The 24,848-nt window shown below is 38.7% G+C and overlaps 1 protein-coding gene across 16 annotated transcripts in view; it reads right to left on the bottom strand.

Annotated features, from left to right (window-relative positions):
* Window positions 1-4,560: 4,560 nt before the first annotated feature.
* Window positions 4,561-24,848, bottom strand: part of ANAPC10 (anaphase promoting complex subunit 10) — a 103,997-nt gene continuing 83,709 nt past the window's right edge. For 13 of the 16 annotated variants that reach the window (NM_001256708.2, NM_001256712.2, NM_014885.5 and 10 more), the window contains one exon: window positions 4,562-5,589. In NM_001256708.2, the coding sequence (NP_001243637.1) occupies window positions 5,359-5,589 (231 nt within the window). In that variant the 3' untranslated portion in view covers window positions 4,562-5,358. Of the gene's footprint in view, window positions 5,590-9,242; window positions 9,281-24,848 lie in introns of all 16 variants that reach the window. The other 3 variants (NM_001256710.2, NM_001256711.2, NR_046345.1) reach the window with 2 other exon arrangements.

Consider the following 24,848-nt stretch of genomic DNA (forward strand, 5'->3'; position numbering starts at 1 on the left):
TAAAAGTGTGAGGTGAAGGGGTTTTAAAATGGCAGTATATCTCTGTCATGCCTACCTTTGAAGAAAACAATTGAAAAATTAAAAAAAAAAAATAGTAGCATAGGAGCAAGCTGGCCTCACTCCCTCAACAGAAAACCAAATACAAATACACAGTGCCAAGATTTTTACCAGTAACAATCCAGAAATCACAAAAGAGGATGAGACAGATCCCAGGACCACAGAGAAGTGAAAAAACTTCAAGCAGATGATAGGAGAATCAGACTTCCACATCCATAATGCCCCTCCTGAAAATTCTGCCCTGCAACAAGCTTGCAAAAAGCCTTCCCCCAGCTCACAATTTCTACACTGGAAAGAAATGAGATTGAGGTAGAAGTTTTAGTCCGTTTTTGCCTCTCTATAAATAAATACTTGAGACTGGGTAATTTATAAATAAAAGAGATTTAATTGGCTCATGGTTCTGCAGACTGTACAGGAAGCTGGTGCCAGCATCTGCTTCTGGTGAGGGCTTCAGAAAGCTTACAATCGTGGTGGAAGGTCAAGGAGAGCCAGCATCACACGGTGAGAACAGGAGCAAGAGAGGGATTTGGTGCCACACTCTTTTAAAACAATCAGATCTCCTGTGAACTCAGAGTGAGAACTCACTTATCACCAACGGGATGGCACCAAGCCATTCCTGAGGAATCCGCCCCCATGATCCAAATACCTCCCACCAGGCTCCACCTCCAACACTGGGGATTATGTTTCAACATGAAATTTGGAGGTAAAAAACATCCAAACCATATCAGTAGTCAATCAGCTTTCCCATCATCTTGGATTCCCTTGCAAGAGACCTGTACCTGCCTTAACACACAGGAAGCATCATGACTGCCTGAAGGTATAAATATCTGTGAGGACAAGCAGAGACAAACTAGGGAGGTAGGACTACCATCCCCAGCCCTGGAAACTCTGCTCTGTAACTCAGCCAAAGGAGATGCCACATCAGAGTGGCTGTTCAGCAGCACCATGCTGTTATGTTCCACAGGTCCCTTGGGCACAAACCACTACCTGCCTTCCCACACTGCCAGAATAATCCTTTTGGGAATTCCCCCATTCAAGACAGGCAGCACTCTAATAATTTAGTAGAGCAGAGGAGAACCTGGGCTTAAGGAACCACAGAGACAAAAAGGAGGCATCAACCTAATGGTAAAGATTTGCTAAGAGCAAGGTGAAGCAGGAAGTGCTGGTGGAGAAGCTGCAGCAAGTTATCCAGAAGATCTAGAACAAGCTTGTCCAATTCGCAGGCCACAGGCTGCATATGGCCCAGGATGGCTTTGAATGCAGCTCAATAAAAATTTGTAAACTTTCTTAAAACACAAAGAGTTTTTTTGCATTTTTTTTTTTTTGAGACGAGTCTCATTCTGTCACCCAGGTTGGAGTGCAGTGTCGCGATCTCGGCTCACTGCAAGCTCCGTCTCCTGCGTTCACACCATTCTCCTGCCTCAGCCTCCCAAGTAGCTGGGACTACAGGCACCCGCCACCACGCCCGGCTAATTTTTTATGTTTTTAGTAGAGATGGGGTTTCACCATGTTAGCAGGATGGTCTCGATCTCCTGACCTTGTGATCCACCCGCCTCGGCATCCCAAAGTGCTGGGATTAGAGGAGTGAGCTACCATGCCCGGCCAGGAATTTTTTTTTTTTTTTTTTTTTTAGCTCATCAGCTATCGTTAGTGTATTCTATGCGAGGTCCAAGACAATTATTGTTCTTCCAATGTGACCCAGGAAAGCCAAAAGATTGAACACCCCAATCTAGAACATAAGGGATGAAGGTGGCTACACTAAACAATAGATTTTTCCATGTAGATGAACAACCTTCTATTGGAAGATGATGCCACCTTGGATTTTCATAGCTAGAGGAAAGTCAATGCCTGGCTTCAAAGTTTCAAGGAAGAGAATAACTCTTGTTAGCAGCTAATGCAGCTGGTGACTTTAAGTTGAAGCCAATGCTTATTTACCATTCTGAAAATCCTAGGGCCCTGAAGAATTATGCTAAACCTACTCTGCCTGTGCTCTGCCTGTGGAACAACAAAGCCTGGATGACAGTACCACTGTTTAGAGCATAATTTACTGCATGATTTAAGCCCTCTGTTGAGATCCACTGCTTGGAAAAAAGATTCTTTCAAAATATTACTTATCATTGCCAATATACCTGGTCACTCAAGAGCTCTGATGGAGAGTTATGTTGTTTTCATGCCTGCTAACACAACATCCATTCTGTAGCCCATGAACCAAGCAGTCATTCTGACTTTCAAGTCTTATTGTTTCAGAAATACATTTCATAAGGCATTAGCAGGTAAGTGATTCTTCTGATGGATCTCAGCAAAACAAACGGAGAACTTTCTGGAAAGGATTTACCACTCTAGATGCCGTAAGAACATTCATGATTTAAGGGAGAAGGTCAAAATAGCAACTTTAACAGGAGTTTGGAAGGAATTGATTTCAACCTTCATGGATGACATTGAGGGGTTTACGACTTCAGTGGAAAAAGTAATGGCACATGTGGTAGAAATAGCAAGAGAACAAGAATTAGAAATGGAGCCTAAAAATGTGTCTGAATGGCTGCAATCTTATAAAACTTGGATGACTGTAGAGCTGCTTCTCGTGGATGAGGAATAAAATTGGTTTTTTGAAATGGAACCTATTCCTGGTGAAGATACTGTGCACATTGTTGAAATGACAACAAAGGACTTAGAAGAGTATATCAACTTAGTTGATAAAGCAATAGCAGGACTTGAGAGGATTGACTCCAATTTTGAAAGAAGTTCTATTGTGAGTAAAATGCTATCAAACTGCATCACATGCTACAGAGAAATCTTTTGTGAAAAGTCTATCAATGAAGCAAAGTTCATTGCTGTCCTATTTTAAGAAATTGCCACAGCCCTGTCAGCATTCAACAACCACCACCCTGATAAGTCAGCAGCCATCAACACCTAGATGAGACTCTCCACCTGCATAGAGGTTACAACTTGGCTAAAGCTTCAGATTATTGTTAGCACTTAGCAATAGTATTTTAAAATAAAGGTATACATACATTGTTTTTTTTTAGACTACAACAGTGTAAACAATTTTATAAGCACTGGGAAACCAAAACGTTTCTGTGACCCACTTTATTGTGATAGTCACTTTACTGTGGTATTCACTTCATTGTGTGGTGGTCTGGAATTGAACCTGCAGCATCTCTGAGATATGCCTGTACCAGCAGTGCGAAGTGCATTTTCTCCACATTGTTGTCAACACGTGGAATAATCATTTTCACTGTAGTCATTCTAGTGGCTGTGTAGTAGTATCTCATTGTGGTTTTAATTTGCTCTTCACTAGTGTCTAATGAAGTTGAGCATCTTTTTGTACAATTACTTGCCAATCATATAACTTCCTTGGTAAAGTGACTGTTCAAATATTTTGCTCATTTTTAAATTGGATTTTTCTCCTTACTGTTGAGTTGTAAGGGATTTTTATATATTCTAAATATAAATCTTGGTCAAATATATAATTTGCACTTTAGAAAGTAAAATGCAACTGTTTTAGATAATTATGCTTTGTTAATATAATGCATTATCTGTATTTTAAATTTTTCTTATTAAGGGGAAGCATTATCTTCATAATCCTCAGCTACCAAGTTTTCCCACACCTAATAAGATAGCCAGCTGGCATATGAAAAATACGTAAGGAGAATAAAAGTAGAAAACATATTGATTTTCTCAACTCCTTCTAATACCTCCTGATTTTAGGAGTCTCTTGGCAAACTATTAATAAATAGTAGGAGATAAGACACTAGATAGTATATGTGATCATTAGTCTTCCTCCTTTTTTCTTTTAAGCAAACTTAATAAATAAGCAGTCAGTAAGAAGTAACATTATTAATAAAACTTCCTGTACTTTTAAAAAAATTAGATTTCTTTTATCTCTAAGACTAAGACCCTGTTGTTTACTTGACTGTTTTCCTTATCAGACTAAAGGAAAACATCAGTGCCTAGTGTATATTTCTATTCTTATTTCCTTCATTCTCTCCATTTCCTTTAGTCCTTATTCTTGGTCTTCTCCTTCAATCCTCTCTTCTACCCTACCCAGCATCTGACAAGTATAATGTGCTTAATTTGGTGATTCCAAATAAGTTTTGGCTACAGACTTTTTGGTGATCCCACAGATTGCCTATCATGCTTTTTACTTCAAAGACAACAAAATGAAAGTAATAATACAATTCTTCCCAGAACTTACAGGAAGAAGAGCAGAGTTTTTAATGAGTGAAAAAGTGAAACCATTTTCTATAGTATCCAAATAAATTAGTACTCTCTGCCAGAATAAAGCAAACACACTATTTTTTAAATAATATTCACTATTTAATACTTTAGTGTACCCAGCAATGCATGAACCACAGAGAGCAATCTTTTCCAAACAAGAGTGAATCTAGGTAAATTCTGTGGCTAAATAACCATCCCCCGAAAAAAAGTAATACATCTAGAGAAAACAGCATACAAAATCAAATCTACTCATTTTAAACCATGGAAAAAACCACATTTCCATGTATTTCTTTAAAATCTTTTAATATATATAAAAAATTTCACATACTTTTACGATTTTATGGGATATATGACTGCCCAGGGAATGCTACAATGTCAGACACAAATTTGAAAATAACTCTTCCATAAGTACTGCTAGAACTCTTCCATAAGTACTGCTAGATTATACAGGCAATCTTTACATAATATCATTAGGATACAGACAACCCTAGGGCTGTAAGTATTCCGTGAAGGTGAATATGAGACAATTAATTATACTCCCCATATTAGATTGGTTCTCATCAGACAACCTAACACTAAGCTTATTTGACACTGTTTTTTAAAAGATCCAGTATTAAAAGAATAACCTTCCTCTGGGTAGAAAAAATAGTAATTTTGACCTATTAAAGATGATATATATTGATAAAACACAGTCTTGTTCTCAAATATGCAATAAACCATTACTCTAATGTATGAACACTAATGAAATAATCACCTAGCTATTATAATTGTGTATATACTGAAATTTTCAGTTCAACTCTTTTCTTTTGATACAAGGAACTCTTTTCTTTTGATACAAGGGAAAATAAAATGATTGGCTTCAAATCCATTTTTAGTAATGTAAAATATGTGAGCTTTATTACATGTTAAAGAAAATAAAGATAATATGACCCCAAATTTATTTGTCAAAGTTACAATAAAATATTTTTAAACATATACAAAATTAGATATAACGGATGCCTTGTTCAATAAAGGTACATGATATATTATTTAAATACAGGATAAAACAAAGATACGTTTAATGATTTTCGTCTCATTTTAAAGTCACCTTATTGAACGATACATCATGAAATCTATAGTTGTACATCTAGGAAATTTACCAATGGAGCTCTCTTCTACTGGTGTGTATATTTTAATTTGTCTCATATGGGTGTCTCTTCCATTCTGGTGATTGGCTAGAACAGCAATCTGTATCATGAATGTACGAGTTGGCTTCTTATGATTGTCAGTTAAGGGAACATGAATCCAGCCACTTGGTTCCACCAACTCAAGTTGCTGCCAAGGGAAAAAAAATCAGATTATGCTTTTATTCAACAAATATAATTTATAACAATGAATGCATTCTATAATAAAATAACTTATAATTAACATTTTGCTCAACGAAAGAATGACAATATGATAATAATCACTACCAGTTATTGGACACTTTTACCATGGTCTACTTATAGTTGCTAAGCACTTTAGATGTACCATCTTAGTAGACAAAATAAAAATAGATGTGCTTCATGTTTACTGAACTCGTACAATTTATACAACTTGTACTCTCTGCCAGAATAAAACAAATACACTAGAAAGTACATGTCTCACAACTTTTAAAAATATGTGAAACACAGATGGCTGACTAGACACAAGTAGTATGTGCCTCCTCCATGAAAAGGAACCAGAATACTAAGTAGATACTCATATTTTGAACAGATAATCTAGGAAAGAAGGCTAGGATTCATCAGGGAAGAGATGGGAAGTACCAGAAGTAATTAACGACAGGGTTCGAGGTAGCTTGCCCAGGCAGGGAACTCACTCACAGCCAGGAGAGGCTCCTGGATGTGGGGAAACAATATGAGAGATATGGAGATATCCCCACGGCTCTACACTCCGAAACAGGCTTATAGGATCTTAGTGATGACAGAAACACTCTACCAACTAGGGCCTTGGGCCTGACATAATAAGCTGTCTACAGACTGTAAAGAGACGTTACTCCAGAAAGGAAACTCAGAATCTCACAGGCATCCCACAGATCCTGGAGCAACCTCAGCTGGGCGCCACTTGGAGAATCTAGATACTGGAGATCTAGAGACACGGCTGCTGCTGCTGTGCTGGTCTAAGGAGGGAGAAGGGAGACTTGGCGCTCCCATGCACCCCTGGGAAGGTCCCAACTGACCAGCTGCAGGCTGTTGTTGAGACAGAAATGAGAAGACCACACTCCCCACAGCTTCTTGTCCATGCTGCTTGCCTGGGAGGAACCCACCCTCTCTAGTTCCATCATCAAAGACCGAAGGTAGATAAAACCACAAAGATGGGGAGAAACCAGAGCAGAAAAGCTGAAAATTCTAAAAATCAGAGCACCTCTTCTCCTCCAAAGAAATGCAGCTCCTCGCCAGCAACGGAACAAAGCTGGACGGAGAATGACTTTGACGAGTTGAGAGAAGAAGGCTTCAGATGATCAGAAATAACAAACTTCTCCGAGCTAAAGGAGGATATTCGAACCCATCGCAAAGAAGCTAAAAACCTTGAAAAAAGATTAGACGAATGGCTAACTAGAATAAACAGCAAAGAGAAGACCTTAAATGACCCCATGAAGCTGAAAACCATGGCACGAGAACTATGTGACGCATGCACAAGCTTCAATAGCTGATTCGATCAAGTGGAAGAAAGGGTAACAGTGATGGAAGATCAAATGAATGAAATGAAGTGAGAAGAGAAGGTTAGAGAAAAAAGAGTAAAAAGAAATGAACAAAGCCTCCAAGAAATATGGTACTATGTGAAAAGACCAAATCTACATCTGATTGGTATACCTGAAAGTGACGGCCAGAATGGAACCAAGGTGGAAATCACTCTTCAGGATATTGCCCAGAAGAACTTCCCCAATCTAGCAAGGCAGGCCAACATTTAAATTCAGGAAATACAGAGAACACCACAAAGATACTCCTCGAGAAGAGCAACACCAAGATACATACTTGTCAGATTCACCAAGGTTGATATGAAGGAAAAATATTAAGGGCAGCCAGACAGAAAGGTCGGGTTGCCCACAAAGGGAAGCCCATCAGACTAATAGCAGATCTCTCACCAGAAACTCTACAAGCCAGAAGAGAGTGGGGGCCAATATTCAACATTCTTAAAGAAAAGAATTTTCAAGCCAGAACTGCATATCCAGCCAAACTAAGCTTCATAAGTGAAGGAGAAATAAAATACTTTACAGACAAGCAAATGCTGAGTTCACCACCAGGCCTGCCTTACAAGAGTTCCTGAAGGAAGCACTAAATATGGAAAGGAACAACCAGTACCAGACACTGCAAAAACAGGCCAAATTGTAAAGACCATCAATGCTAGGAAGAAACTGCATCAACTAAGGAGCAAAATAACCAGCTAACATCACAATGACAGGAACAAATTCACACATCACAATATTAACCTTAAATGTAAATGGGCTAAATGCTCCAATTGAAAGACACAGACTGGCAAATTAGATAAAGAGTCAAGACCCATCAGTGTGCTGCATTCAGGAGACCCATCTCACGTGCAGAGACACACACAGCCTCAAAATAAAGGGATGGAGGAAGATCTACCAAGCAAATGGAAAACAAAAAAAACCAGGGGTTGCAATCCTAGTCTCTGATAAAATAGACTTTAAACCAACAAAGATCAAAAGAGACAAAGAAGGCCATTACATAATGGTAAAGGGATCAATTCAACAAGAAGAGCTAACTATCCTAAATATATATGCACCCAATACAGGAGCACCCAGATTCATAAAGCAAGTCCTTAGAGATCTATAAAGAGACTTAGACTCCCACACAATAATAATGGGAGATTTTAACACCCCACTGTCAACATTAGACAGATCAATGAGACAGAAAGTTAACAAGCATATCCAGGAATTGAACTCAGCTCTGCACCAAGCGGACCTAATAGACATCCACAGAACTTTCCACCCCAAATCAACAGAATATACATACTTATCAGCACCACATTGCACTTATTCCAAAATTGACCATATAGTTGGAAGTAAAGCACTCCTCAGCAAATATAAAAGAACAGAAATTATCACAAACTGTCTCTAAGACCACAGTGCAATCAAATTCACAAACTGTCTCTCAGACCACAGGGCAATAAAATTAAAACTCAGGGTTAAGAAACTCACTCAAAACGGCTCAACTACATGGAAACTGAACAACCTGCTCCTGAATGACTACTGGGTACATAACAAAATGAAGGCAGAAATAAAGATGTTCTTTGAAACTAATGAGAACAAAGACACAACATACCAGAATCTCTGGGACACATGTAAAGCAGTGTGTCGAGGGAAATTTATAGCACTAAATGCCCACAAGAGAAAGCAGGACAGATCTAAAATTGACACAATAACATCACAATTAAAAGAACTAGAGAAGCAAGAGCAAACACATTCAAAAGCCAGCAGAAGGCAAAAAATAACTAAGATCAGAGCAGGACTGAAGGAGATAGAGACACAAAAAACCTTCAAAAAATCAATGAATACAGGAGCTGGTTTTTTGAAAATATCAACAAAATTGATAGACCGCTAGCAACACTAATAAAGAAGAAAAGAGAAAAGAAGCAAATAGACACAATAAAAAATGATAAAGCAATATCACCACTGAACCAACAGAAATACAAACTACCACCAGAGAATACTATAAACACCTCTACGCAAATAAACTAGAAAATCTACAAGAAATGGATAAATTCCTGGACAAATACACCCACCCAAGACTAAGCCAGGAAGAAGTTGAATCCCTGAATAGACCAATAACAGGCTCTGAAATTGAGGCAATAATTAATAGCCTACCAACCAAAACAAGTCTAGGACCAGATGGATTAAGAGACGAATTCTACCAGAGGTACAAAGAGGAGCTGGTACCATTCCTTCAGAAACTATTCCAATCAAGAGAAAAAGAGGGAATCCTCCCTACCTCATTTGATGAGGCCAGCATCATCCTGATACCAAAGCCTGGCAGAGACACAACAAGAAAAGAGAATTTTAGACCAATATGTTTCAGGATGCAGCATCAATGTGCAAAAATCACAAGCATTCCTCTACACCAATAACAGACAAACAGAGAGCCAAATCATGAGTGAACTCCCATTCACAACTGCTACAAAGAAAATAAAATACCTAGGAATACAACTTACAAGGGATGTGAAGGAGAACTACACAACCACTTCTCTTCAAGGAGAACTACAAACCACTGCTCAATGAAATGAAAGAGGACACAAACAAATGGAAGAACATTCCATGCTCATGGATAGGAAGAATCAATATCGTGAAAATGGCCACAGTGCCCAAGGTAATTTATAGATTCAATGCTATCCTCATCAAGCTACCAATGACTTTCTTCATAGAACTGGAAAAAACTACTTTAAAGTTCATATGAAACCAAAAAAGAGCCCGCATTGCCAAGACAATCCTACGCAAAAAGAACAAAGTTGGAGGCATCATGCTACCTCACTTCAAACTATACTACACGGCTACAGTAACCTAAACAGCATGGTACTGATACCAAAACAGAGATATAGACCAATGCAACAGAACAGAGGCCTCAGAAATAACACCACATATCTACAACCATCTCATCTTTGATTAACCTGACAAAAACAAGAAATGGGGAAAGGATTCTCTATTTAATAAATGGTGCTGGGAAAACTGGCTAGCCATATGGAGAAAGCTGAAACTGGATCCCTTCCTTACACCTTATACAAAAATTAATTCAAGATGGATTAAAGACTTAAATGTTAGACCTAAAACCATAAAAACCCTAGAAGAAAACCTAGGTAATACCATTCAGGACATAGGCATGGCCAAGAACTTTATGTCTAAACACCAAAAGCAGTGGCAACAAAAGCCAAAATTGTCAAATGGGATCTAATTAAACTAAAGAGCTTCTGCACGGCAAAAGAAACTACCATTGGAGTGAAAAGGCAAAAAAGGCAACCTAAAGAATGAGAGAAAAGCAATATACCCATCTGACAGAGGGCTAATATCCAGAATCTAAAAAGAACTTAAACAAATTTACAAGAAAAAAAAACCATCAAAAAGTGGGCAAAGGAAATGAACAGACACTTCTCAAAAGAAGACATTTATACAGCCAACACACACTAAAACATGCTCATCATCACTGGTCATCAGAGAAATGCAAATCAAAACCACAATGAGATACCATCTCACATCAGTTAGAATGGCAATCATTAAAAAGTCAGGAAACAACAGGTGCTGGAGAGGATGTGGAGAAATAGGAACACTTTTACACTGTTGGTGGGACTGTAAACTAGTTCAACCATTGTGGAAGACAGTGTGGTGACTGCTCAGAGATCTAGAACTAGAAATACTATTTGACCCAGCATTCCCATTACTGGGTATATACCCAAAGGATTATAAATCATGCTACTATAAAGACACATGCACACGTTTATTGTGGCACTATTCACAATAGCAAAGACTTGGAACCAACCCAACTGTCCATCAGTGATAGACTGGATTAAGAAAATGTGACATATATATACCATGGAATACTATGCAGCCATAAAAAAGGATGAGTTCATGTCCTTTGCAGGGACATGCATGAAGCTGGAAACCATCATTCTAAGCCAACTATCGCAAGGACAGAAAACCAAACACCGCATGTTCTCACTCATAAATGGGAATTGAACAATGAGAACACTTGGACACAGGGCCCACCCCGGGGCCTGTCGTAGGGTGCAGGGCAGGGGGAGGGATAGCATTAGGAGAAATACCTAATGTAAATGACGAGTTAATGGGTGCAGCAAACCAACATGGTACATGTATACCTATGTAACAAACCTGCACATTGTGTACATGTACCCTAGAACTTAAAGTATAATAAATGAATGAAAGAAAGAAAGAAGGAAGGAGGGAGGGAGGGAGGGAAGGAGGGAGTGAGGGAGGGAGGGAGGGAGGGAGGGAAAGAAAGAAGAAAAGAAAAGAAAAGAAATTAATTCTGACATGTGCTACAACATGGATGAACCTTGAGGACATTATTCTAAGTGAAATACACCAGCCACAAAAAGACAAATACTGCATGATTTTGCTTAGATGAGGTACTTAAGAGTAGTCAAAAATCATAGACACAGAAAGTAGAATAGTGGTTGCCAAGGGGAAAGAGAAATTGAAATTTATTGTTTACATGGTAGAGAGTTAAAGTTTTACAAAATGAAGAGTTTTGACGATGTATAGTTCTTAAATACTGTAAGATTAAATACTATTGTACTAACATTAGGAGAAGTTATGTAATGGGTCACAAAATCAGCACTACTGCCAACCCAAAGACTGCCAGGTCACTTCTGAATAGGAACCACCCACCACCTTTCCCATCACTCAATATTCTTTCGTTGATATCAGCTGCTATGGTATGAAACCTACAGTGGTGTAAACAGGATCCATTAGAGTTTCTCTATGAAGACATCGACATCTCTCAGTCTGGCTTCTGGATCTTCTGCTTCCTATTAGCAACCTTTAAGTCACTATCTACTCTGGCTGTGACTTACTTAAGAGCAGATGTAACCCGCTAGGCATGCACTGATTTACAGTATTAACTGCAGCATAAACAAAGCTTACATTAAAAAAAGGAAGTAATTCATCAATAAAAAACATGTCAAATATTAAGTACAAAACTGTTTACATGTCTTCCTACTGCCATGGAAAATAAAAGAAGGAAGGAAAAACTACTTGATAGTTGCTTCAGTAGTTGCTCTTTTCTCCCTACTCTCACTACTTCTCCTTTACTAACCATATCTGTGACTTAATGAAATTCTGTAGAATCTTACTACGAGAACTGTCAACACATGAAGCAGCAGATTCTAGAATTTTAACCATCCTTTCACTTAGAAAGAAACTGAACAAGTTAACATTAATGATGACCTAGTTCTGGAGAAAAAAGGTCTAATATGATCCAAAAGAAACTTCAGAAGTTCCAAATGTGTTAAAAGGAAGCAGCTACCACAAAAGCAGCTTAAGAAGAAAGACAGACTCCAACTCAAAAGGCTCACTATGGAAAGCAAGCTCTTCTGCCCTAGTGAAGAAGGCGACCACCTAAGAAGATGACTTTGAAAGTCAAAATCAGTCCCCCTGCTAAACATGGTCAAATCATTCATTTTAGACTAGAAAATCGGAAAAGTTTCTATACAGAGAAACTGCTCCAGAAGTCGTCCCTGGAGAGTTAAGATTATATAGCTTAACTAGTCTTAAAGTAACTTATTTTTTAAAAAAGACGCATAACAAAAGAACAACTAGATAGAGTGTTCTACTCATCTGCATGACAATTCTGAATAAATGTGAAGCCAATGTCAATTAAAAAGAACAATTTTATCAAAAGCCCAAGATAGTAAACACATTTTAAGAAGAAATTACAGAAAATCTTTGGACTGAAAAAAGTAAAACTATTTCCAGATTAATCATATTTAACTATCATTAAAAAGTTACATACATATGTACATAGTAAAAATTTTTTAAACTTACAAAATTATATACATAATATTATTTTTGTTGTAAAAGGCTAAATATCTTTTTCTAACTTTTATTTTAGGTTCAGAGGCACACGTGCAGTTTATTATAAAGGTAAATTGCATATCATGAGGATTTGGTATAAAGATTATTTAGTCACCCAGGTAGTAGGCATAATACCCGATAGGTAGTTTTCCATTCCCACCCTCCTCCCATCTTCCACCCTCAAGAAAGTCCCAGCCACTATTGTTCCCTTCTTTGTGTCCATGTGTATTCAATGTTTAGCTCCCACTTAAAAGTGAGATCATGCAGTATATGGTTTTCTGTTCCTGTGTCAGTTTGCTTAGGATACTGGCATCCAGCTCCATCCATGTTGCTGTAAAGGGCATGATCTCATTCTCTTTTATGGCTGCACAGTATTCCATTATGTGAAATTTGGAATTCCAAAATGTGATATATGTACATTTAAAAAATCTACTCTACTACTGATGGGCTTTTAGGTTGATTCCATGTCTTTACTATTAGCTGCAATGAACATACATGTGCATATGTCTTTATGGTAGAACGATTTATATTCCCTTGGGTATATACCGAATAATGGAATTTGTGGGTGAAATGGTAATTCCATTTTTAATCTCTTTGAGAAACTGCCAAACTGCTTTCCAAAATGGCTGAACTAATTTACATTCCCAACAGCAGTATTACCGATTTTTGTATACAGTGTAAGGAAGGGATCCAGTTTCAATCTTCTGCCTTTGGTTAGCCAGGTATCCCAACACCATTTATTGAATAGGAAGTCCTTCCCCCATTGCTTGTTTTTGTCGACTTCGTTGAAGATCAGATGGTTGCAGGTGTGCAGCATCATTTCTGGGCTCTCTATTCTGTTCCATTGGTGTATGTGTCTGTTTTTGTATCACTATCATGCTGTCTTGTTAATGTAGCCTTATACTACAGTTTCAAGTCAGGTAATATGATGCTTCTAGCTTTGTTCTTCTTGTGTAAGATCATCTTGGCTATTTAAGCTCTTTTTTGGTTCCGTATGAATTTCAAAACAGGTTTTTCCAATTCTGTGAACAATGTCATTGGTAATTTGATAGGTATAGCACTGAATCTGTAAATAGCTTTGGGCAGTATGGCCTTTTAACAATATTGAGTCTTCCTATCCATGAGCCTGGAAGGTTTTTCTCATGTGTTTGTATCATCTCTGATTTTATTTTATTTTTTTTGAGTAGTATCTTGTAATTCTCATTTCCCCTCCTTGGTTACGTGTATTCCTAGGCAGGTTTTTCTCTCTGTGGCTACTGTGAATAGAACTGCATTCTTGATGTGACTCTCAGCTTGGATGTTGTTGGAGTATAGGTATGCTACTGATTTTTGTACACTGGTTTTGTATCTGAAACTTTGTTGAAGTCATTTATCAGATCAAGGAGCTTTGGGGCAGAGTAACTATGGTGTTTGTGTAGGTCTAGCATCATATCATCTGCAAACAGTGTTAGTTTGAGTTCCGATCTTCCTATTTGGATGTCTTTATTTATTTCTCTTGCCTGATTGCTCTGGCTAGAACTTCCAGGACTATGCTGAATAGGAGTGGTGAGTGAAGGCATCCTTGTTTCGTTCCAGTTTTCAAGAGGAATGCTTCCAGCTTTTGCCCATTCAGTATGATGTTGGCTGTGGGTTTGTCAAAGATGTCTCCTATTATTTTGAAGTATGTTCCTTCAATGCTTGATTTGTTGAGGGTTTTTATCATGAAAGGATGTTGAATTTTATTAAAAGCCTTTTCTGCATCTATTGAAATGATCACATGCTTTTTGTTTTCAGTTGTTTATGTGGTGAATTACATTACATTTATTGATCTGCATGTGTTGAACCAACTTTGTATTCCAGGGATGAAGCCCACTTGATGTTGGTGAATTAGCTTTTTGATGTGTTGCTGGATTCAGTTTGCTAGTATTTTGTTGAAGATTTTTGCATCTATGTTCATGAAGGATATTGGCCTGAAGTTTTCTTTTTTGTTGTTGTTGTGTCTCTGCCAGGTTTTGGTGTCAGGATGCTGTTGGCTTCACAGAATGAATTAGGGGAGTCCCTCTTCCTCAAAATTTCAGTAGGATTAGTAACCAGCTCTTCCTTACACAACCAGTAGAATTTGGCTATGGATATGTGTGGTTCTGGGCTTTTCCTGGTTGGTAGGCTTTTTATTACTGATTCAGTTTCAGAAATCATTATTGATCTGTTTAGGGATTCAATATCTTCCTTGTTCAATCTTCAGAGATTATATTTCCAAGAATGTATCCATTTCTTTTTCCTTTTCTTTTTTTGAAGGCTCACTGCAAACTCTGCCTCTCAGGCTCTAGCCATCCTCCTACCTCAGTCTCCTGTGTAGCTGGGATTACAGGCGTGAACCACCATACCTGGCTAAAAAGAATGTATCTGCTTCTAGGTTTTCTAGCTTATGTGCAAAGAGGGGTTCATAATAGTCTCTCAGGGATTTTGGATTTCTGTGGGGTCAGTGGTTACATCCCTCTTGTCATTTCTGACTGTATTTTGGATCTTTTCTCTTTTTTTCTTTATTAGTCTAGCTAGCAGTCTATCTTATTCTTTCAAATAACCAGCTCCTAGATTCAATGATCCTTTGTATGGTTTTTCATGTCTCAATTTCCTTCAGTTCAGCTCTGATTTTGGTTACTTCTTGTATTCTGCTAGACTTGGGGTTGGTTTGCTCTCGGTTCCCTAGTTCTTTTAGTTATGATCGTAGGTTGTTAAATTGAGATCTTTCTAACTTTTTGATGTGGGCATTTAGTGCTATAAACTTCCATCTTAATATTGCTTTGGCTGTGCCCCAGAGATTCTGGTATATTTTATCTTTGTTTTCATTAGTTTCAAATAATTTCTTGATTTCTGCCTTAATTTCATGTGTACCCAGAAGTCACTCGAAGCAGGCTGTTTCATTTCCATGTAATTGCATGGTTTTCAGTGATTTTCTTAGTATTGATTTCTATCTTTATTGCATTGTAGTCTAAGGACATGGTTTGTATAATTTCAGTTTTGAATGTCTTAGGATTGTTTTATGCCTGATTGTGTGGTTAATTTTATAGTATGTGCCACATGTAGATGAGAAAAATGTATATTCTGCTGTTTTGGAGTGGAGAGTTCTGTAGATATCTATTAGGCCCATTTAGTTAAGTGTTGAGTTCAGATCCTGAATATCTGTGTTAGTTTTCTGCCTCAATGATCTAATACTAACAGTGTGGTGTTAAAGTCTCCCCACTATTATTGTGGGGTTTTCTAAGTCTCTTTGTAGGTCTCTAAGAACTTGCTTTATGAATTTGGGTGCTTCTGTGTTGACTGCATATATATTTAGGGCAGTTAAGTCCTCTTCTTGAATTGAGCTCTTTACCATTATGTAATGCCCTTTTTGTCTTTTGTGATCTTTGTTGTTTTAAAGGTTGTTTTGTCTGAAATTATAGCAACCCAGACTTTTTATCTGAAAAATCTGCCAATCAAGTGGAAAAGATAAAGGGAATTTGTTTGGCAAACATAAAGGGATTTGCTGGGCAGATCCCTTTACCTTCAGACTATGGGTATCATTGCATGAGATATGGGTCTCCTGAATACATGTCTTCAAATAAGGAATAAGAAAGGAACGATAGCAATGAATAAAAGAATGTAGGGCAGTAGAAAGAACATCAGACCAGATGATACAAGAAGACCTAGATTTGAATTTCACTTCTGATCAGGAATTGAAGCAAATTACTTATGCTAGCTAACCTTTATTTCTCCATCTATTAGGATGAATCATATCAAATTGTCATTTTTGTAGGTCAAAAATAAAACGACGATAATTTTATTTCTGTATAATTGTTATACTTTCCTCAGAAATTTAAGATAGTAAGATAACATAAATTTCATTATTGCTAAATCCATGGGATCCTTTTCAGTTTGAACCTTCTTAGCCTTTTTTCTGTCAGTATTTGGTGCAAAATCTCTACTGAAATGTCCTGTTTTGTTGCCTCTGTGATTCCACCTTCTTCAGGTATTCCTCCCACCTCTCTCACTTCTCCCTTGTCTCTGCAGAGACTCCTCTGTATGTTCCTTAAATGTTGCATTCCTCATAGTTCTGTCCTAAAATTAGTCCCACAATACAGGCTTTAATGTATATAACTGTCCAGGTCCATCACTTCTGGTACCTCAAGTGGCTATATGCTGAAGATATAAAAATATACATCTCCTGGGAGGCGCGGGTCCCAAGATGGACGAATAAGAACAGCTCCAGTGCACAGGTCACAGCTAACTATCCTAAATATATATGCACCCAATACGGGAGCACCCAGATTCATAAAGCAAGTCCTTAGAGACATACAAAGAGACTTAGACTCCCACACAATAATAATGGGAGACTTTAACACCCCACTGTCAATATTAGACACATCTACGAGACAGAAGGTTGACAAGGATATTCAGGACTTGAACTCAGCTATGCACCAAGCAGACCTAATAGACATCCATAGAACTCTCCACCCCAGATGAACAGAATATACATTCTTCTCAGCACCCCACACGCTTATTCCAAAATTGACCACATAGTTGGAAGTAAAGCATCCCTCAGCAAATGTAAAAGAACAGAAATCACAACAAACTGTCTCTCAGACCACAATGCAATCAAATCACAACAAACTGTCTCTCAGACCACAATGCAATCAAATTACAACTCAGGATTAAGAAACTCACTCAAAACCGCTCAACTACAGGGAAACTGAACAACCTGCTCCTGAATGACTACTGGGTACATAACGAAATGAAAGCAGAAATAAAGATGTTTTTTGAAACCAATGAGAACAAAGACACAACAAACCAGAATCTCTGGGACACATTTAAAGCAGTGTGTAGAGGGAAATTTATAGCACTAAATGCCCACAAGAGAAAGCAGGAAAGATCAAAATTGACACAATAACATCACAATTAAAAGAACTAGAGAAGCAAGAGCAAACAAATTCAGAAGCTAGCAGAAGGCAAGAAATAACTAAGATCAGAGCAGAATTGAAGGACACAGAGACACAAAAAAAACCCTTCAAAAAAAAAAAAATCAATGAATCCAGGAGCTGGTTTTTTGAAAAGATCAACAAAATTGATAGACCGCTAGCAAGACTAATAAAGAAGAAAAGAGAAAAGAATCAAATAGATGCAATGAAAAATGATAAAGGGGATATCACCACCGATCCCACAGAAGTACAAACTACCATCAGAGAACACTATAAACACCTCTATGCAAATAAACTAGAAGATGAAGAAGAAATGGATAAATTCCTGGACACATACACCCTCCCAAGACTAAACCAGGAAGAAGCTGAATCCCTCAATAGACCAATAACAGGCTCTGAAATTGAGGCAATAATTAATAGCTTACCAACCAAAACAAGTCCAGGACCAGATGGATTCACAGACAAATTCTACCAGAGGTACAAAGAGGAGCTGGTACCATTCCTTCTGAAACTATTCCAATCAATAGAAAAAGAGGGAATCCTCCCTACCTCATTTGATGAGGTCAGCATCATCCTGATACCAAAGTCTGGCACAGACACAACAAGAAAAGAGAATTTTAGACCAATATCCCTGATGAACATCGGTGCAAAAATCATCAATAAAATACTGGCAAACCGAATCCAGCAGCACATCAAAAAGCTTACCCACCACGATCAAGTCAGCTTCAATCTTGGGATGCAAGGCTGGTTCAACATATGCAAATCAATAAACGTAATCCATCATATAAACAGAACCAAAGACAAAAACCACATGATTTTCTCAATAGATGCAGAAAAGGCCTTTGACAAAATTCAACACAGCCCATCATGCTAAAAACTCTCAATAAACTAGGAATTGATGGGACGTATCTCAAAATAATAAGAGCTATTTATGACAAACCCACAGCCAATATCATACTGAATGGGCAAAAACTGGAAGCATTCCCTTTGAAAACTGGCACGAGACAGGGATGCCCTCTCTCACCACTCCTATTCAACATAGTGTTGGAAGTTCTGGCCAGGGCAATCAGGCAGGAAAAAGAAATAAAGGGCATTCAATTACGAAAAGAGGAAGTCATATTGTCCCTGTTTGCAGATGACATGATTATATATTTAGAAAACCCCACTGTCTCAGCCCAAAATCTCCTTAAGCTGATAAGCAACTTCAGCAGAGTCTCAGGATACAAAATCAATGTGTAAAAATCACAAGTATTCCTATACACTAATAACAGACAGAGAGCCAAATCATGAGTGAACTCCCATTCACAACTGCTACAAAGAAAATAAAATACCTAGGAATACAACTTACAAGGGATGTGAAGGACCTCTTCAGGAACCACAAACCACTCCTCAACGAAATAAAAGAGGACACAAACAAATGGAAGAACATTCCATGCTCATGGATAGGAAGAATCAATATCATGAAAATGGCCATATTGCCCAAGGTAATTTATAGATTCAATGTCATCCCCATCAAACTACCAATGACTTTCTTCACAGAACTGGAAAAAACTACTTTAAAGTTCATATGGAACCAAAAAAGAGCCCACATTGCCAAGTCAATCCTAAGCAAAAAGAACAAAGCTGCAGGCATCACGCTACTTCACTTCAAAATATACTAAAACCAAAACAGCATGGTGCTGGTACCAAAACAGAGATGTAGACCAATGGAACAGAACAGAGGCCTCAGAAATAATACCACACATCTACAACCATCTGATGTTTGACAAACCTGACAAAAACAAGAAATGGGGAAAGGATTCCCTATTTAACAAATGGTACTGGGAAAACTGGCTAGCCATATGTAGAAAGCTGAAACTGGATCCCTTCCTTACACCTTACACAAAAATTAATTCAAGATGGATTAAAGACTTAAATGTTAGACCTAAAACCATAAAAACCCTAGAAGAAAACCTAGGTAATACCATTCAGGACATAGGCATGGGCAAGGACTTCATGTCTAAAACACCAAAAGCAATGGCAACAAAAGCCAAAATTGACAAATGGGATCTAACTAAACTAAAGAGCTTCTGCACAGCAAAAGAAACTACCATCAGAGTGAAAAGGCAACCTACAAAATGGGAGAAAATTTTTGCAATCTACCCATCTGACAGAGGGCTAATATCCAGAATCTACAAAGAACTTAAACAAATTTACAAGAAAAAATCAAACAAACCCATCAAAAAGTGGGTGAAGGATATGAACAGACACTTCTCAAAAGAAGACATTTATGCAGTCAACAGACACATGAAAAAATGCTCATCATCACTGGCCATCAGAGAAATGCAAATCAAAACCACAATGAGATACCATCTCACACCAGTTAGAATGGCGATCATTAAAAAGTCAGGAAACCCCAGGTGCTGGAGGGGATGTGGAGAAATAGGAACATTTTTACACTGTTGGTGGGACTATAAACTAGTTCAACCATTGTGGAAGACAGTGTGGCAATTCCTCAGGGATCTAGAACTAGAAATACCATTTGACCCAGCCATCCCATTACTGGGTATATACCCAAAGGATTATAAATCAAGCTGCTATAAAGACACACGCACACTTATGTTTATTGTGGCACTATTCACAATAGCAAAGACTTGGAACCAACCCAAATGACCATCGGTGATAGACTGGATTAAGAAAATGTGGCACATATACACCATGGAATACTATGCAGCCATAAAAAAGGATGAGTTCTTGTCCTTTGTAGGGACATGCATGAAGGTGAAAATCATCATTCTGAGCAAACTATCGCAAAGACAGAACACCGAACACCACATATTCTAACTCATAGATGGGAATTGAACAATGAGAACACTTGGACACAGGGTGGGGAACATCGCACCCTGGGGCCTGTCGTGGGGTGGGGAAAGAGGGGGAGGGATAGCATTAGGAGATATACCTAATGTAAATGACGAGTTAATGGGTACAGCACACCAACATGGCACATGTATACATATGTAACAAACCTGCACGTTGTGCACATGTACCCTAGAACTTAAAATATAATAAAAAATAAATAAATAAATCGCTTGATCTTTAACCAATAAAAGGAGAGGTATATGGGGAAAAAAAAACAAAAATATACATCTCTTTTTTAGAAGGCAACTTTCTGAAGGCACCAGCAAGGGACCAGGTATCCACGGAAGGCACGGCAAGACAGAAAGCTTCCACAATAGAAGTCACATGAAGAAGGTCTGGACTTTTAAAATGTCTCTTTTAAATTCAAGAGGATTGCCTGAACGCAGTGGCTCACGTCTGTAATCCCAGCACTTTTGGAGGCCGAGGCAAGTGGATCACCCGAGGTCAGGAGTTCGAGACCAACCTGGCCAAAACGGTGGAACCCCATCTCTACTAAAAATACAAAAATTAGCTGGGCTTGGTGGTGCATGCCTGTAATCCTAGTTACTCTACTCAGGAGGCTGAGGCAGGAGAATTGCTTGAACCCTGGAGGCGGAGGTTGCAGTAAGCCAAGATTGCGCCACTGTACTCTGGCCTGGATGACAGAATGAGACTGTCTTAAAAAATAAAATAAAATAAAATAAAATAAAATAAAATAAAATAAAATAAAATAAAATTCAAGAGGATGGAGTAGTTTGTGGCAAGCCAATGCCCCTGCTGAGAATGCTTATAGGTAAAACATAAAAATTATCATTTTATAGGTATCAGAGACAAGCAAAAAGCAATGAAGACTAATGGAGACCAGGATTCGAGGGAGGAGAGAGCCTCAGGGAGGTGAATGGTCTTTCTGCACCCATTTTAACAACAGGAGCATTTGTTGATGCTGGTAAAGGGCGAGAGGCTAAAAACTATGGCTTTGCCCAGGTAGAGAGTTGTTTCTTGAAGTCAGAGAAACATGCAGAGCTATTACTAGGGTCTTTCAGAAAAGACAAAATTAGAGACTTCAAGGGCTTCAAATACATGGCCTATTTTTCCCTCACAATATTTGCCACATTCTGAAGTTGCCTAGGATAGGTTGCTGAAAGGTTAAGCAAGAGGCCTCTGAGAAGCACAGCAGAGTTTTTGGCAATTTTTCAGGGCTAAGGAGGGAAGCACTAGAGTTTAGAACTTGCCAAGGGGAAGGAGCATGAAAATACCAGGCTCCTAGTTGAAAGCCTTGAGGGGCTAGGCCCCAGAAGTGTTAAAGAACAGAACTAGAGAGAACCTTGCAAGAACTGCAAAGCAGCTTCCACTGCAAAGCAGCTTCCACTCAGGGACTGAGAGGAGTAAAGCATCTCAGTCTATCTGCTTAGCGGGAGAAAAAGTGAACTTTCCCTAGAAAAAGAAAACATCACCTAGAGCAGCTCTAATAGAAAAACAGTGTGGGCCACAATTACAAGCTATATGTATATGTGTGTGTGTGTATATATATATATATATATACACACACACATATATATACATATATATAAATTTTCTAGTAGCTACATTAAAATTAAAAAGAAATGAGTGATATTAAATTTATACTTAACATATTGAAAATATTGTCACTTGAACATGTTTTGAATACACAAGGTTGTTAAGAAGATATTTTAAAGTGTAAAAAAGATTTTTCCAGTGTCTGACAATCAGAAATGACTATGATTAACATGCTTAAGAAATGAGGCAAAAACAAAAAGAAAAAATAAAGAATTTCATCTGAGAATTAGAATACACTTTTAATAAAAATTCTACAGTTGAAAACTAAAATATCTGTAACTAAGAATTCATCAGATTCATTTAACAGCAGATTATACATACATCATAAGACAAAATGGATAAATTCCTTGAAAAATACAATTTATCAATGCTAACATAAAGAAGTAGAAAAATCTGAATAGAATGACATTTATTAAGGAAACTGACTCATAATTTAAAATCTACAACAAAACTTCAGACCTGGATGGCTTTATCAGTTGGACTGGCTTCTTCTAAATATTTAAAAAATAACCTAAATTTTCCGCCAACACAGAGAATAGAAAAGGGAGAAACACTTTTTAACTATTTTTATAAGGCCTTGATATAGTTTGGGTCTGTGTCCCTGCCCAAATCTCATGTAAAATTGTAATCCCCAATGATGGAGGGGGGCCTGGTGGGAAATGACTGGATCATGGTGATGGATTTCCCCTTTGGTGCTGTTCTCATGATAGTGAGTGAGTTATCACAAGATGTGTTTGTTTAAAAGTGTGTGACACCTCCCTCTTCCCTCTCTTCCTCCAACTCCAGCCATGTAAAATGTGCCTGCTTCCCTTTTGTCTTCTGCTATGATTCAGCATTTCCTGAGGCTTCCCCAGACATGCTTCCTGTACAGCCTGTGGAACTGTGAGCCAATTAAGTGTCTTTTCTTTACAAATTATCCAGCCTCAAGAATTTCTTTACAGCAATCTAAGAACAGAATAACAGAGGCCTGCATAATTTTTGTTCCAAAATTTGATAAGGATAGTATAAGAAAGAACCTTTACAAACTAATCTTTCTCATGAGCACAAATGAAAAAAACCTAGAACAAATACTAGCAAATCAAATCCAGCAATATATAAAAAGGATAATATATCATTCTAGGTATGTATGGCTGGATTATCATTTGAAAATTAACCAATGTAATGACTTTGTTAATAGTAGAAAAGAGAAAACTCATACTGTCATCTCATTATATGAAAAAAACCCATGTGACAAAATTCAATACTCATTTATGATTTTAAAACTCTTAGCAAATTGGAAACAGAATGCAATCATTAATAAAAAACAGCATCTTTTCATATATAATCAGAGACTTCATCATGGTGGATGGGAGGCAGTAGATTGCAGCTCTGACTCGGATGAACAGAGCAGCATGTGGAGGCTCATATCGTGAATTTTAGCTCCAGAGTGATTGCAGGAATAAATCAGGAATCCCAAGAGGACCCACAGACCCTCTGAAAAAAGCGGTCTGCTCCTGCAGGACCCAGGAGACAGCCCAAATACTGAGTACCCAAACTGCAGAAGCAGAAAAGGAAGATCCTCCACCCCCAAGCACACACTCCTACTGGGGAAACTGAAGGTCTCATTTGAGGAAGAAGATTCTGACCTTACCTGGGGCTGAATCAATTTAGGGAGCAGAGTGAAATACAGGGGTAGAGAAAGCAGTGGAAAAGGCCCTGGGAGCTTGCTGGGTCCCCAGGCAGGCCATTCTTGCCTGGCATCACAGGGATCCTTCAGGAGGGCGGCCAGCGGTGCGGAGAAAATGCCACAGGGAGAAGGAAGTCTCCAGCTGAATTTTGTAACAATTTGAACTAGTCAAGAAGGCTCCTGGCCAGAACTCAGGGGAGAGCCCAAATCCAGCATCCAGTGTGCAGCCTCCACAGGTGGAGGAAGAACTAAAATCCTTTTATTTCATAGCTCGGAGGTGGGTACCATGGGGCAAGTTCTCAGGTCTGCTTGCCCACTGCCTGGAAACAGACTCAGTGCTGTTGGTGGGGGGCACAGTGTGAGTGAGACCGGCCCTTTGGATTGTGTGGAAGCTGGGTAAGGCCTGTGATTGCTGGCTTTCCCCCACTTCCCTGACAACCTGCGTGACTCAGCAGAGGCAGCCATAATTCTCCTAAGTACACAACTCCATTGACCTGGGAACCTCACCCCTATCCCCCACAGCAGCTGCACCAAGGCCCACCCAAGGAAAGTCTGAGCTCAGACACACCAAACCCTGCCCCTACCTGATGGTCCTTCCCTATCCACCCTGGTAGTTGAAGACAAAGGGCATACTCTCTTGGGAGTTCTAGGCCCCCCGCCCACCGTCTGATCCTCCCTATACTACCACAGCTGATGCTCTCTGGAAAGCGCCACCTCCTGGCAGGACAACCAGCACAAAAATAAAGCATTAAACCATCAAAGCTAAGAACCCTCACAGAGTCCATTTCACCCACTGCCACCTCCACTGGAATAGGTGCTGGTATCCATGGCTGAGAGACCCACAGACGGTTCACATCACAGGACTCTGTGCAGACAATGCCCAGTACCAGTCCGGAGGCTGGTAGACTTGCTGGATGGCCAGACCCAGAAGAGAGACAACAATCTCTACAGCTCGGCTCTCAGG

Source organism: Homo sapiens, chromosome 4 (assembly GCF_000001405.40).
Source record: "Homo sapiens chromosome 4, GRCh38.p14 Primary Assembly".
NCBI classification, from domain to species: Eukaryota; Metazoa; Chordata; class Mammalia; order Primates; family Hominidae; genus Homo; species Homo sapiens.